Source organism: Homo sapiens, chromosome 4, assembly GCF_000001405.40.
Source record: "Homo sapiens chromosome 4, GRCh38.p14 Primary Assembly".
NCBI lineage: Eukaryota > Metazoa > Chordata > Mammalia > Primates > Hominidae > Homo > Homo sapiens.
In genome coordinates, this window is record NC_000004.12 from 105,775,857 (window position 1) to 105,792,647 (window position 16,791).

Sequence of the window (16,791 nt, forward strand, 5' to 3'; positions counted from 1 at the left end):
CTCAGCAGAGCTTGAGTGCTGTGCTGGGAGATATGCTCTCTTCAGAGCCAACAGGCAGGAACATTGAAGTCTGCTGAAAGTGCGCACACAGCTGCCCCATCCCCCAGGTGCTCTGTCCCAGGGAGATGGGAGTTTTATCCATAAGCCCGACTGGGGCAGCTGCCTTTCTTTCAGAGATGCCCTGTCCAGAGAGGAGGAATCTAGAGAGACAGTCTGGCTACAGCAGCTTTGCTGGACTTCGGTGGGCTACGCCCAGTTCTAACTTCCTGGTGGCTTTGTTTATACTGCGAGGGGAAAACCACCTACTCAAGCCTCGGTAATGGCAGACACCACTCCCCACACCAAGCTCCAAAGTTGCCTTCAGACTGCTGTGCTGGCAGCGAGAATTTCAAGTCAGTGGATCTTAGCTTGCTGGGCTCTGTGGGGGTGGAATCTGCTGAGCTAGACCACTTGGCCCCCTGGCTTCAACCCCCATTCCAGGGTAGTGAATGGTTTTGTCTCGCTGGCATTCCAGGTGCCACTGGGGTATGAAAAAAAACTCCTGCAGCTAGCTCTGTGTCTACCCAAACAGCCGCCCAGTTTTGTGCTTGAAACCCAGGGCCCTGGTGGTGTAGGCACCCAAGGGAATATCCTGGACTTTGGTTTGAGAAGACCATGGGAAAAGCATAGTATCTGTGCTGAAGTGCACCTTTCCTCACGGCACAGTTCCTCAGGGCTTCCCTTGGCTAGGGGAGGGAGTTCCCTGACACCTTGCACTTCATCGGTGAGGCAATGCCCCACCCTGCTTCAACTCACCTCTGTGGGCTGTACCCACTGTCTAACCAGTCCCAATGAGATGAGCCAGGTAGCTCAGTTGGAAATGCAGAAATCATCCACCTTCTGCATTGATCTTGCTGGGAGCTGCAGACTGGAGCTGTTCCTATTCGGCCAGCTTGCCAGCCTGATACTCCGTACATTCTTAAAGATTCTAACTTTATCTTTTCTTGATTTCCTCATCTCCAGGATAAGGAAATTGTGTTGAATGAGCTTTGTGGGGCCATCCATCTCTACTATGCTGCAGTATGCTTTGGGGGAGTCCTATTACTTTATAACTACCTGCCATTCTCCATTCTGTATCTGTCCAACTCAATCTATGATGGTTGTTGGATTAATCTTCATAATATAGAACCCTAATCACATTGAGCATCTGTTCTGGAATGGAAAAGAATAAAATGTTAATAACTTTCTTCATGCAATGGGAGTTTTGTGAGTTACCATTTATTAAAAGCTGACCAAATAAATTCTACTTAGTAAACAAAAATATATTGATACATTTTTATGTCTGGTACATTCTGGCACCTAAGGATAGTGAATTGATTCAGAATTTATGCATATCACACTAGTAGGGAAATTAAAATTCTATAATTTTGTATTTAATCTTAGCCGATGTATGTGTGTGTATATATATATATGCTTATCTTTCTGATATTAATTTTCTTACGTAGAACATGGATCCTCCAGGCATAACTAGTTTCTATTTCTCATGTACGTCCTCAGAATTCCCGAAACCTCTTTGTTATTGCCAATCTGGAATGACTTTCCTCCCTTTATCACATTTCTATTTATCTTTCAATATGCAGCTTAGATATTAGATAGCAAGTCTTCCTTCCTTTCTCAACATCTTCCTTCTTTTTCTATGGAACATTACTTTTTAACCTTGAACTATAAGTTACTTAGGTTCACATTTTCTCCTCCATGAGACTGCTACCTTTTGCAGGCAGGAAGTAGCTTAAAAGCATAAGCTTTTGAGTCAGATAGACCAGACTCTGTCTTTACCAGTTTTGCCTACCTAGGCAAGTTACTTGCTTTCTCTAAGTCTTGGTTTTCTCATCTGCAAAATGGGGATGTTAGTAATGACTTCTGTATAGGGTAGCAGTAAGAGTTAAAGAAGACAACGTTTGTAACACACTTAGTACCATGCTTGGTTCATTGGTAAGTTTCCAATAAATTCAAGGCATTTTTAATTATTATATAATTTTAATTATATATTAACAATCCCTTCTACCCTGTGAACTCTTACAAATCACTCAGTGTTTTGGATGTAGCAAGTGTTTAATACATATATTTAGGAGAACTTTAACAAATGTTGTTGAATAAAGGCTTATAGGAATTCAGAAGAGGGAATGATTAGTTCTGATTGTTGGATTAAGGAAGACTTGATTGGAGTTGGCATTTGAACTTTCACGTCTGAGTTATGATTTGACAGAAATGAACAACAAAAAAACATTGGAAGCCAATGACATGCAATTTCAGGGAGAAGTGTCAGCTAAGCTTTACATTAATAATAGAACCTACTCAATGGGTCGGTTTGTTAATAAATGCATCTAAAGCATTGGCATAGTAAGAATATGGTAAATATTAGCCTGTGTTTTAACACCCCATATATAGACTACATGTTAAATAAATAACAAAAACTCACTTATAGTATATATGTGTATATACACACACATGCACACGTCATCTTTCACACTAACTTGAAGGATCTCTGTATGGCAACATTTCCTTAATATTTTTGTTTGCAATATCCATTTAAAAGTACAAAGAAAACATTTATTTTAAAATATTGTTTATTTCAGCTATATATTATTCTTCCTGTTTATTTGAATTAGTGAGACAATACTTTGCAAATGGCTTTAAGTTGTCAGCTGTTAAGGATTATCATGCCATTTTTTTCCCCACTGGTATAGCTAAATTTGAGAGAAATCTATATAAGTGACAGCTTACAACAGCTGCAATTGCTTGATATGTGAAAACAATCAAGGGATATATATTATATGAAGTTCAAGGTCATTTTATTTTAATTAAACATGTCTTGAATTATAATATGTTCCATAATAATGTAACTAAGATTTTTTCTGTCATACTCTTTTTAAATTTTTTGTTTTAATATACTTTCCAGACATATGAAAGTTACAAGAATAGTACAATAATTCTAATATACCTTTTATCCAGATTCCTCAATGTTAACATTTTGACATCTTTACTTTATTTCTCTCCTTTTCTCTCTCACCCACACATACTCATTCTCTGTCTGAACTATGTGAAATAGTTGCAGACATGACACCCATCATTTACTCCTGAATACGCCAGAGTGAGATTCTTAAAAATAACAAAAAATAGGATATTTTCTTAAATAACCAAAAAACAATTATCAAATTAAGATCATGCAATATTATTATCTATTCCACAGACCTTATTTAGATTTTGCCATTTGTCCCAATAACATCCTTTATAACAACAGAAAAATCCCATATTTATGTTTTACATGTAGTTGTCACATCTCTCTGGTTCTCTTTTAATCTGGAACACTTCCTCAGTCTTTCTTTGTCTTTCTTGGCCTTAACCTTCTTGAAGAACACAGACCAGTTATTTTGCAGAATGCCCCTCAACTTGTATTTGTCTGGTGTTTTCTGATGATTAGAATCAGGTGGTGCACTTGGAGCAGGAATAGCATAGAAGTGATATTTTCTTCTCAGTGCATCATGTCAGGAGGACAACAAAAATAGTAAAACATAAATTTTGGAAATTTGGAAAGAAACACTTTTATAATTTTTTAGAATGTTTGAAAACTTATATTTCTCAATTTTATTTATATTTAACATTTTTCATTTTTTAGCCAATCAGTAAAATATTAAGTATGGAATAACACTTTCTCTGCAAGGTTCTCTGTCAAATTTTTGCAATTTGTCAAGTGTATTTATTGTTAAATGAAGATAAATATAGAAAGACACTCTTTAGTAAGAAATTTAGTTATCTATGGTATTAAATACTAACATGGGTTTGATATGAAATAGAGCATTGTGCAAGAATGTTTTTGACAGGTACAAATAAAGAGGTTGAACTAAGTAATTGGTTTGACAGATTTATTTTGCCAAATTTTGCCACCCAAATCTGAGGCCACTAATAGGGAAAAGATTCAGGCATTGCCTATTAATGCTCACTTAGTATTGGTTAGCTTTTTCAGACATTTGAGAGAAGGAATTTTCTTTTAAGTCAGAATTAATTTTAAATCAACAGTGCTCTTTTATATAGAAAGATATATGATACTCAGATTTTATGCCTGATCATTCTTTCTTTCTTATTTTCCCCTCAAGAGAGAAAAAACTACTGCCTGATTACAAATCCTGCAGTGCATATGTTGAATCTAATTACATGTTTCATATTGCTCCTTGCCAACAAATACATGTTAATAATAATGAATAATCAACCTCACTTAACAAGAGGAACACAAAATGTGTTTCTGCCATTTCTCATGATGGACAGACCCAGGAGTATGTCAAAGATGGTATCCTCACCACATCAGTTGCCTATGACTTATTACCAGCAACCTGCTCTAGATGATGAAGTGTGAAATTGATGGGCACTATAGGGAATTTGAACTGAGATTTCAGGCTAGGGAAGCGCTGTCTCACAATATTCGCCTGCCTTGTTCATTGGCTCACTGGTTTGCCCTAAGGCCTCTTTTTATAATGCTCTGGAAAATGTTTCCTGGCTAAGTTTATGTATGTGTTACTGTATCTGGCTAGCAACCAGATTGATAGAATAAAGCTTACAGGAAATTTTACTATATCCTGTTCCCCAGCTGATAGCAAGAAGTCTGAGCCATATAAGAACTGACTGAACAGAATGAATGGATGAAATATTTGAGCATGTCATTATGAGGATATCTTTCACTGCAGAAGATATTATAGACACTAAAGGGGAAAATGTTGTGCTGTTATCACCTCCCAACTTTTTTAAATTAACTTTTAGAGATTAGTTTGTTAGTGATTCCCACATTTAACTCATGTCAAATGATTCTTTTATAATAGAAGTATTAATTTATAATTTATATTTGATTTATGAAATTGCTTGAATAGTCAAGTATTGATTAATTTAGCAGAGTCTGAAAGTATAGTATATACTATATCCCTATAATTTATTTCAGAAATTTTCATTTACTTCTGGAATTATTTTCCTCCTGCTTTATTTGAAAAGTCAAGATATTATTATGTTGCTATAACATTAGTAGAAAAATTCCAGGGAGGCAGTAGAGAGACATATAAGCAAAACTCAAGTTTTCAAGCAGGCCTGAATTTAAAGGTGTATCCTAGCTACTTAATCTCAAGCAAATTAGCTAACATTTCCAAGCCTTAAATTTCTTAGCTTGGAGAATCATAATATTTACCTCACATTCTTAAGTAAAATAATGTATAAAATAACTTGCACAGTGCCTGGCTTTACTTTCTCCTCTCACCCAGTACTTTGATATTTTTGTTGAGGCATAAACAGTGGAATATAAATGTTAACATTATTTAGTATTTTATTTCATCATGATATTTTGTTTCTCTTTGAACTTACTAAATTTAATTTTCCTTTTCTTTTTAATTTTTGAGACAGGGTCTTGCTCTGTTTCCAGGCTGGAATGCAGTGGCACAATTATAGCTCACTGTAGCCTCAAACTCCTGAGCTAAAGGGATCCTCCCCCTCAGCCCCCCAAGTACTTAGGAATACAGGCGTGTGCCATCATGCTCAGCTTTTTTTTTTTTTTTAAAGTTTTTGTAGAGATGGAGCCTTTTGCTTTATTGCCCAGGCTGGTCTCGAACTCCTGGCCTCAAGCAATCCTGTAGCCTTAGCCTCGCAAAGTGCCCAATTACAGGCGTGAGTCATCTTTCTCAGCCTAATTTTCCTTTCTTTAGAAACAAAATTGGACTCATGACTCTATTAGCATTCTTAAGAAGTATTCTACGCAGAACAGAAGTAGAACAAGCAAGAAAAAGTGAAAATACATCTATTGCTAAGGGAAGGAAGAATTAAAACACAAATATATTTTTGATAAGATTTTTAAAAATAAAATCTAAATTTTTGGAATATTTTTGCACTTATAATTCTGTATCTTAGTTTATTTAACTACTTATCTTTTTTTTCTTTTTTTTTTTTTAACAAAGATAATGCGGGTTTGGATGAAGCACTTCTAAGTCAAAATGAACTTTTCCCACAGTGGTCAGGAATTGCCATAGTGCTATTTTCTAAGGTGCATAGCATGTCTGTGTGGGGTAGTTCGTATTTTGAAGCCCAGAGACTCTTTTCCTAGCAGGAATAGTTTTTCTGTGAGATGCTTTGAAAGATATTTTGCTTCATTTAAATGCCCTGTCAGAATAAATGTGCCACTTCTTGCGCATACCTTGTACAAGGTCTGCAACCTCTGTAAACTCTGAATGCCACTGGCAAAACTAAGCAATGTTCTGGTTAACCTTCACAAGCAGGGTAGTTGGGAGAAAAATAAATGAAGAGAATATGAGGAACAGGGGAAGAGAAAGAAAAGGAAAAAGGAGAAAGACGGCCAGGTGTGGTGGCTCATGCCTGTAATCCCAGCACTTTGGAAGGCCAAGGTGGGAGGATCACTTGAGCTCAGGAGTTCAAGACCAGCCTGGGCAACATAGCAAGATCTCATTTCTACAAAAAATTTAAAAATTAGCCAAGCATGGTGTGCGCACCTCCCAGCTATGTGACAGGCTGAGGCAGAAGGATCTGTTGAGCCCAAGAGGTTGTGGCTGCAGTGAGCCATGTTCATGCCACTGCAGTCCAGCCTGGGCAACAGAGTGAGACCCTATCTCAAAAAACAAAACAAAACAAAACAACCACCAAAAAACAGGAGAAAGATAAAAACATCATTCATGGCTTCATAATATATAGGAATTATGATTACTTGAGAATCCTTTTTTTTTTGAGACAGAGTCTTGCTCTGTCACTCAGGCTGGAGTACAATGCTGTGATCTTGGCTCACTGCTACCTCCTCCTGGGTTCAAACGATTCTCATGCCTCAGGTCCCCTAGTAGCTGGGATTACAGGCATGCACCATCATGCCCAGCTAATTTTTGTATTTATAATAGAGACGGGGTTTCACCATGTTGCTCGGGCTTACTTGAGAATTCTTAATAATCGCTTCTGATTTTTTGTCTTAATTCATATGTAGATAGTTTATTTCAGGACTTTCACTTTAAGTTTTATGAAAAGAATTATTGTGTTTGTGTACATATAATGTATTTTTAAAAATAACTACCAATTTGGGCTAAACTCAAGTAATTTTTTTCTGTAATGTCAAAGTCATCTCATTGATAATAACTATGCTGGAACACAAGTTCATTTTATTTCTACAAAGCACATCTCACATTCTTTCCCTCTGTCTGAGATGGACAATTTGTTCGAATTTGACCTTTCTTCCTCCTAGAGGCATAAATTTGGGCTGATTTATTTGGATAAGATTGGATATTGCACCTGGTGTGGATAGTACTAGATTACATCTTCAGGAAATTGAACTTTTTCTGTTTACCCTTTAGAACAAACAGCTTTCTGAAATGAATATGTTAGAGACAGTGTTAGCTTCTTTTTTTGTTTCCATTCTGCTACATAGGATCTTTTCATTTTACAAAAAAGTAGCTTTCTGTTGCTTTAGCAGGTTGGTATATTATACTTTCTGAAACTAAACTTCCTGATACATTCTTGGTAAAATTCAGGGTGGTGTGCAGTTGGTGTTGACCTATATGCCTTAAAACTTTTTTATATTAATGTAATCTAAATTTACAGAAAATTACAAAAATAGTACAAAAAAATCCAGATTCACTGTTTACATTTTTATTTTGCCCAATTTTTTTTTATCATTCATGCTCCAGTTCTTTTTCTTTCTCTCTCCCTCTGTATATGTGTGTATGTGTATGTATATATTTTTCTTGAACCAGTTAAAAGTGAGTTGTAGGCACTGCACCCGTTTAACCCTTACATTCTTTTATATAACCAGAATAGAATGATCAAAGTCAGGAATTTTAATATGGATACAATGTTACTATCTCCATAGCCTATATTCAAATGTCATCAATTGTCCCAATATCTTTTATATTTATCTTATATCTTATTCAGTTCAAGATTATATTGTATGTAGTTTTCAAGTTTCCTTAGTTTCCTTTAATACAGAATTAGCTTCTCTTTTGTCATTTATGATCTTCATATTTTTGGAGAGTACAAGCAAATTAGTTTGAAGAATGTCCATCAATTTGAGTTTGTCTGATTAGATTCATATTATGGATTTGGGGCAGGAATACTACAGAAGTGATGCACCACAGAAAAGGCATGGGATGTTAGTTTATCCTGTTATTGTTAATGGTGATGTTAAGTACCTAGTTAATATGGCACCTGCCAGGTTTCTGTACTGTAATGTTACTGTTTTTTACTTTGCAATTAAGTAATTTGTGGTAGTCTGAGACTATGTACATATCTTATTCCTCACCTGCTTTTCATTTAGCATCTGTCGTAGTTTGTTTTTTGTTGCTGTAACAGAATATCATAGACTAGGTAAATTATAAAAATAGAAATTTATTTGGCTCATGGTTTTTGAGGTGGAGAAGTCGAAGAGCATGGCACTAGCATCTGGTGAGGGTCATCCCATGGCAGAATGTGGAAGGCAGAAGAGAGCACATGAGACAGAGAGAGACACCAGGGACCAGACTAGCTTTATAACAATTCACCCTCCCAATAACTAACCCATTCCCTAAATAATAACATTAACCCATTCATGAGGGCAGAGCCCTCACAACCTGATCACCTGTTATTAAGCCTTACCTTCCAACAAAGTTGCATTGGATTAAACTTACAACACATGAACTTTTGGGGAACACATACAACCCAAAATAGCATCCATTGATGATTGTTGCCTGAATTAATTATCATTAATTACTATAATGTTTGCAAAATTGTGACTTTCTAGCACCCATAATTTATTCTACATTCATTAATTGGCAAACTAAGGAAAAGCTTTCCTTTCTCTTCCCCACTTATCATTTGTTTTCTTTATCTGTATCAGGATAAATTCGTGGATTCTTATTTTTTCAATGGATTACATTCTATTATTATCATTATTTATTTTGATACTCAAATTTTCCCACATTTGGCCAGTAAAAGCCCCTTCAAACTAACTCCTGCATCGTTTTGACATGTTCTCATCACTCCTGGAGCACTTCCTTGATTTCTGACATCACAAAATGTTCCAAGATTATATTGTCCTTTGTCTGACCTAGCGCTGAAAGTAGCCTTTATTCCAAGATCTGGATGTACAGTGTAATAATAGCTACTGGTATGCTACTGCTTTTAGGCCTTCTCAGTGGACACAACTAGGACATATGTGTGTCAGTTTGTGTATATGTTTGTGTGTAATCAGATCAAACAGATACTCAGATACTTCTAATTCTAATCCAGAAGCAGAGAGTTTGTTTTAGTCTTCTCATGTTGAACAGTAAGAAACCTGAGAAATTTGCTCATTTGTAGAATACACAGAAAGTATTTTCAAAATTGTTGACTTATAACATTTTTAAAACAAACTAATATAAAGTCATCACAGGAAAAGAAAACAGAGTAGCATCTCTTATGAATATAGATGTGAAAACTCTCAGCAAAGTATTAGTTAACCAAATCCAGCAACAGATTAAAAAAAAAATCATACACCATAACCAAATCAATTTACCCTAGAAAGGCAAGGTTGATATAGCATCCAAAAGTCAATTAAAATAATACATCATATCAATAGTATACAGGGCAACAACCACATTTATTTGTATCAATATCGATTCATGGATTTTTATTTTGTTCAATGAGTTGTGAAATATTTTGACACTCAATTTCCCTAATGCCTACATAAAAAAGGCATTTGATAAAATGCACACTTTCATGCTTAAAACACTTAACAAACTAGGAAAAGAAGGGAACATCCTCAACCAGTTAAAAGACATCTACCAAAAACCACAATTAACATCATACTTAATTGTAAAGGCTAAATGTATTCTCCCTAAAATCAGTAATGATGAGAATGTCTTCTCTTACCAGGACAACTAGGAATAAAAAGGAAAAAAAAAGGCCTCTACATTGGAAAAAGAGAAGGGAGAAAACTATCTCTATTTGCAGATAACATGATCTTCTATACAGAAAATCCTAAGACATCCACTGAAAAACTGTTACAATTACTAAACAAGTTTACCAATATTGCAGAATATAAAAGCAATATACAAGTTAGTTGAACTTGCACCTGCAATGAACAATCTGAAAGTGAAAGGAAGAAAATAATCCCATTTACAACCCTATCATAAAGATTACAATAACCCTTACATTACATCATACTCATAATTTAACTCTAAATGGATCAAAGATATAAAGTAAAATGTAAAACTATAAAACTCTTGGAAGAAAACATAGACATAATTATTTGTGATACTGGATTATACAAAGCCTTCTAAGAATGACACTAAAAATACAAGCAATAAAATAAAAAATGTAAATTGGACATGATCAACATTTTAAAACTTTTAAGGCCGGGCATGGTGGCTCATGCCTGTAAATCCTAGCACTTTCGGAGGCTGAGGCAGGCAGATCACTTGAGGACAGGAGTTCGAGACAACCTTGGTCAACATGGAGAAACCCTGTCTCTACTAAAAGTACAAAAAATTAGCCAAGTGTGGTGGCTCGCACTTGTAGTCCCAGCTACTAAGGAGACTGAGTCAGGAGAATCGCTTGGACGCCAGAGGCGAAGGTTGCAGTGAACCGCAGACTGCGCGCCACTGCACTCTGCCCTGGGCAACAGAGCAAGACTTGGTCTCAAAAGAAAAACACCATCCAAAAAAAAAAAAAAAAGACCACAATCCACATAATGTGAGACTATTATGGCAAATTATATGCCTGATAAGAAACTTATATCTGAAAAATATAAAGCAATATTATTTCCATAACAAAAGACAAATAACCCAATTTTAAAATGGGCAAAGTATCTGAGTAGACATTTCTTCAAATAAGAGATATGGGTAAATACTAAGCACATGAATATATGCTCAACATCATTAGCTGTTAGGGAAATGCAAATCAAAACCGTAATGAGATACCACTCCACATCTGATAGTATTGCTACAAATAAAATAGCCAGATAATAACAAATGTTGGCCAGAATGTGGATAAATTAGCATCCTCATATACTGCCGTTAGGAATGTAAAATGTTGCAGCCACTTTGGAGAACATTTTGACAGTCCCTTAAAGCTTAAACATGATAATATGACTCAGCAAGTCTACTCTATGTTTACACCCACGAGAATTGAAAACATACACCCAAACAAAAACTTGTGCAATGAATGGTCATGTATGTGCTATATGTGATGTATCCATCAACAGTAATATATTTATGTAATTTACATATGCTGAGAATGGGGAACATACTCAAAATATTTTTTTTACTGATAAGTGTTCAATAAAGTTTGGAGACCACTGTCTTAGAGCAATAGTTCCCATACTTTCCATGCATGAGGTTCAACAAGGTGTTTGTTAAAGATTTCCAGGCCCTAACCCCAGAGTGTCTAGTTCAGTAGATCTAAGGTAGAGCCTAAAAGTTTGCTTTTCTAAGCAGTCTCCAGATGATGCCAGTGCATTGGTCCAGGGGACATGCTTTGGGTACTTAGATTGTTGTCCCTGTTATGCTAAAGCTTACTGAGGATGCCTGTTAAAATACATATTTTAAGGCCCCACCTCTAGAAATTATATATCAATAGGCCAAGAATTGGCTTCAGAATTTGCGTTAACAGTGACCACAGGTGATTCTGACTCAGCGGGCCTAAGGATCATCACTTTTTGAGTAATGCTGCTTAGGAGCTTAGAGAGTGGAGTTATGAAATGGTGGGTGTCAGTCAGGGAGAAGCAGCATTGTCCCTTTTGAAAACTGGGAAACCGTTCTTCAAATATTCTCAGAGTCTGAGAATAAATTCAGAGTCAGGAAAATTCTCCTTGGATTCTCTCTTAAAGGATACTGATGGAAAAAAAAGACATGAGCTAATGAGAAGCATTCAATAAAATAGAAATGTTTGAAAGCTTTTTTCCCCCCTTGGGAGCTAGATTTATACTTTTGTTTGCAAACAAATTTTCAAGAATATAGAAATTATGTAAAGCACGATTTTTTGGTATCATTATTACTATTTTAAAACTAAACATTTAAAACTTTTATTCCATTAGAACATCATAACCTTCACATACATTTACTGACTACAAAATTGATAAAGTAAAAGAAAGAAAAATAATCACCTTTGGTCTTACAATCATTGTAAAATTTCTGAATTTCTTTACAGGTTTTTGTTTTTGCTTTTAGTACAGAGTTGTGTTGTTGTTATTTAGTTTCATGATTTCTTTGTATTAGTGATGATAGTGTATATGATGTTTTGTTTCCTTTTTTCCTCCTGAATTGTGTCATAAATATTTTCCCTGTGGTTTCATAAATACTTTATAAGGATGGCCCATTGAATTATAGTGTACCGCCATTTGTTTTACATTTTTAAATATTTAGAAGTTATATTTCCTACATTTTCCATTAGATTCATAGAGTTTTATAATTGGAAGTTACCAAAGATGATTTCTACTTGTCCATTTTACAAATAGTTAAACCAGTTTTCCCAAAGTCACAAAGTTAAAAAATGGCAAAGTTAGAGCTAAAGCCCGTTTTCTCACTCTTGTACTGTTTATTCCACTATGTTGTTCTGTTTTCTCTAATAATTTAAAATTTACTGGAAAGAACATTAGATTTGTGCCACTTTGTTTCCTACTTAACCCATTTATTCTTTGTTCTTTTTTCCTCTTTTTCTGCCTGCTTTGAGGCAGTTTGAGTATTTTTTATGATTCTGTCTTATCTCCACAATTGACTTATTGAGTATATCTCACTTAAAAAAAAGTAGTAGTTTCCTTAGGGTTTAAGATACACATCTTTATCACAGTCTAAAGAGCTTTAGAATAAAGTTTTCAGAAAGAGCTTTAGAATAAAGTAAATGCAGGTACCTAACTGACACATAGTTTTAACAAAATATATCTTGTTTGTGTAGTATAAATTAAGATATTTTGTATATTATTGACATTTATGATAACTAAATAAATTTCTTATATTATCCCTACTTTTTTTTAATGCAAAGACTGCCAAGCATGTTGTATTCCTTAACCCAAATATGTCAAGTTCTTATAGTGGACAAATGTGAATTTCGGATCTCCCCATTAACAAGACATTTATAAGAAGACTGTTTTCCTAGGTTTTCTTTTTAATTGCAGTGCTGCTAATAGAGATGACGTGTCTTCAAGGGGAAGTGACCAAATCTTGAACCTTATTTAAAACTACCATAGATTTTTGAACTGTGAATTTTATTATTAAGACATGAAAGTGTAGTTTGTGTGTCTATATGTGTTTTCTCTTTTTTGCCTTTGCAACCAATGTAAGTGTACACATTGAATGTTGGAGTTAGAAAGGGACTCAAAAGCTCGTTTAAACCAAACTCTTTATATAACAGAAAAGGAAACACAGGCTGTACTGATTATCTATTGCTGCATAATAAATTACTGTAAAACTTAGTGGTTTATACAGCGAGTATTTATTATCTCACAGTTTCTGTGGTCCAGCAATCCTGGGATGGCTTAGGTGGGCCCTCTGGCTCAGAGCCTCTCACAAGGCTACACAGTCAGTGTGTAGGCTGGGCTGTGGTCTCATCACAAGGCTCAACTTGGAGAGGACCCACTTCCAAGTCCATTTACATGTCTGTTAGCAGGATCCTGTTCAAGTACTGTTGGAATGAGGGTCTCAGATCCTCACTGGCTGTTCACTGGGAGCATTAGTTGCTACGGGCCTCTCTGTAGGGCAGCTGAGAGCATCGCAGTTGGCTTCCCTCAGAGTGTGCCATGGAGAAAGCAAGCCAAAGAGGGAATTCACAGTCTGTTTATAACTTAAACAGACTTGGAAGTGACATCCCATCCCCTTTACTATATTCTGCTCATTTGAAGTGAGTCACTAGGTTCAGCCTATAATGAAGGGGAGAGGATTACACAAAGGTGTGAATACAGGAGGGAGGACCATTGGGAAGTACCTTAGATGCTGCCTACCACAGAGACCCGAATAAGTGAAATGCCCAGTCATACATACATTTTGTTAGTGGCAAAGCAGGGCCAGCTTCCTGATCTCTCAATTCTCAGTCAGCCCATTGTTCTTTTGAATTTTCTCTAGTCATTAAAAAAAAAAAGTTAATGACATAATAACCCTTACTTTTTGAGAGGATAAATTACTTTTAATTCACTGCAACTCACCAGATTACTCTTAATATTGCAGTAGGGGAAAGATGCAGAGAAAAAAAGAATAGTTTGATATTATTACTAGTTTTGCTTTTCTACTCAGTGGAAATCCGTGCCAAGTATAGAAGCAAAGTTGTAAAGGAGAACTAGGAATGTTGACAGCAAACTAACTTAGAGACCTCCCAGTTAAAACTTCAAACTACACACCTTGATCTGGATTTGTTAGTTGGATGCTTCTACAATAAACTCATATTTTTAAGAAAATGATAGATATGGACATTAGTATGCTTTACAAATCCTTACATAATTTACATTATGATTCAAATAAAATAGGTTAAAGCCAAGTTAAGAGCATTAATATGATTTAAAAATGTGAAAGGCAAGGCTGGGCATGGTGGCTTATGCCTGTATTCCCAGGGAGGATCGCTTGAGGCCAGGAGTTCAAGACCACCCTAGGCAACATAGTAAGATTTTTGTCTGTAAAAAAATTTTAAAACAATTAGCCAGGTGTAGTGGTAATGCCTGTAGCCCCAGCTACTCAGGAGGCTGAGGCAGGAGGATCACTTTAGCCTGGGAGTTTGAGGCTCCAGTGAGCTATGATTGCACTATTGCACTCCAGTCTGGACAACAGAGGGAGACCCTGTCTTCCCACAAAAAAGAAAAAGCAAACGGCAGCAGTAGCACTGTGCTTGGATCTAGGAGTGCTTATTGCCATCAAATGTTGGGGAATAAACCTTACAGAGCAATGGAGGTAAGGTAGAAAAGGGAACACACCCAATTTGTGATTTGAGGAAAGATATTAAGGATATAAGTAACAGAAATTGCCCTCAGTGCCTTTTTTTTAAAAATTTTATGTTTTCAGAGCAGTTGTTAGCTAAAAAGGAAGTGATAACCAACATCCACTCATCCTTATTGTTTTATCACTGTACTAAAGCATGGACAGCTAATATATATCTAGCAAACAATGAGTTGTTAAACGCCTCTACTTAAGAACCACTTTCTCATTTAGGAAAAGTGAACTGATTTTTCTCATGGCCAAAAAAACAATCCAGAACAGAAATAGAAGACAGCCATTCCTCTGATATAATAGAGAAGTCTATTAAGAAAAAAGAGGGGCTGGCCGGGCACGGTGGTTCATGCCTGTAATCCCAGCACTTTGGGAGGCCGAGGTGGGCGGATCACGAGGTCAGAAGATCGAGACCATTCTGGCTAACACAGTGAAACCCCGTCTCTACTAAAAATACAAAAAATTAGCCGGGCGTGGTGGTGGGCGCCTGTAGTCCCAGCTACTCGGGAGGCTGAGGCAGGAGAATGGCGTGAACCTGGGAGGCGGAGCTTGCAGTGAGCCGAGATCGCGCCACTGCACTCCAGCCTGGGCAACAGAGCGAGACTCCGTCTCAAAAAAAAAAAAAAAAAGAAAAAAGGAACAAGGAATGATAAGATGTAGAACTATTTGGTTGTTGATGAGTAAAACACGTTTGTTTGTTTGTTTTTAAATTGCTTTGAATGTCATTGATGTGTCTCAGTGCAAAAGTTACCTTTTCAGAGAAATGTGCCTCCAGCATCGTAACTAAACTTTGTCCTTCCACATTCCTGTCATTATCAGGTTATTCTGTGTAATATTTCATAGCAATTATACATTTTAAAAATTGTCTATTTTCTCTCCTTGAGAACATATACACCATGAGAACAGACACTTTTTCCATCTCATTCACTACTGGATTCCCAGAACCTAAAACAGTTCCTAAAACACACTAGGTACTTAAAACTTTTGTTGAATGATTAAATACAGTATTCCAAATGCATAGAAGAATCTATATGTCAGAGCTTTACAAACTTTCACTTTTAGCATGTTGGTAATTTTTTCGTAGCACTACTAGACCAAAGGAAATATATAACTTTTTCATTTATTAGATAATTATGTCCAAACAACTTAATAAGCATTTATATCTAAAAAACTTAGGAGCCCTTAGGGAAAAATATACAGAAATTTAAGGAAAATAATGTTTTATGTCATTCTTAACCAGTTACTTACAAATGTAATATATGCTTCTGTTGTGGACTTCATAACTTCTCAAACAATAGGATCAGATTGGACACTGCTCTTCATGTTCTGTTCCACAGTGATTCTAAGAATGGCTTTCTATTACAGCAACTACTAAAAATCCAACTTTGCAAAAAATATGATGTCAATAAAATTAATGTAGTGTGATCTACTGTTGAAACTGTGAACTGTCTCATCTAGTAGTCTGTGTGGTATCCAACAGATATTCAACAAAGCTGTATTTTCTTTGAAAATTTAAACTATCCCACAGTACCCTGAGAACCATAATTTAAATGGGTTAAGTTTACTTCATTTTTTTATATGGTACATTGAAAGCCTGAATGTTCAGGGAAGAGGCTCAGATTCTTCTTTGTAAGCTGGGAGGAAGAAAAACAAGCCATGAGCTACAAGAAGCAACCTAGGATTAGGGCACTATTAGCAGATCAGGGTCAGAAACATTGACCTGGAGAAATCAGTCGTAGTCAATACTTAAGAAATCAGAATCCGGGCATATTAAAAAATACTAGAGCCGAATTAGACTGCTAAACAAATCAAGAACCTTTAAATTAGAACAGACAAGGCTAGCATGAGTTGATTTTGGTATCAAAAC

At 35.9% G+C, this 16,791-nt stretch overlaps 1 protein-coding gene and 1 long non-coding RNA gene across 9 annotated transcripts in view, besides 1 other annotated feature; one reads left to right on the forward strand and one right to left on the reverse strand.

Annotated features, from left to right (window-relative positions):
- GSTCD (glutathione S-transferase C-terminal domain containing) overlaps positions 1 to 16,791 on the forward strand; it is a 138,942-nt gene that overhangs the window by 67,073 nt on the left and 55,078 nt on the right. The window lies entirely within an intron of this gene.
- Positions 6,275 to 6,480: a silencer, noted in NCBI's record as "fragment chr4:106703288-106703493 (GRCh37/hg19 assembly coordinates)". NCBI's record gives its function as "represses an EF-1alpha promoter that drives an FKBP-Casp9 reporter gene in an ReSE screen in phorbol 12-myristate 13-acetate-treated (for megakaryocytic differentiation) K562 erythroleukemia cells {active_cell/tissue: K562(+PMA)}" and the evidence as "EXISTENCE:reporter gene assay evidence [ECO:0000049][PMID:32094911]".
- On the reverse strand, positions 13,428 to 16,353 carry LOC107986190 (uncharacterized). Its single transcript, XR_001741415.2, has 2 exons — positions 16,173 to 16,353; positions 13,428 to 14,068 (listed from the first exon to the last, which is right to left on the reverse strand). It is a non-coding gene; the product is annotated as an uncharacterized LOC107986190 (long non-coding RNA).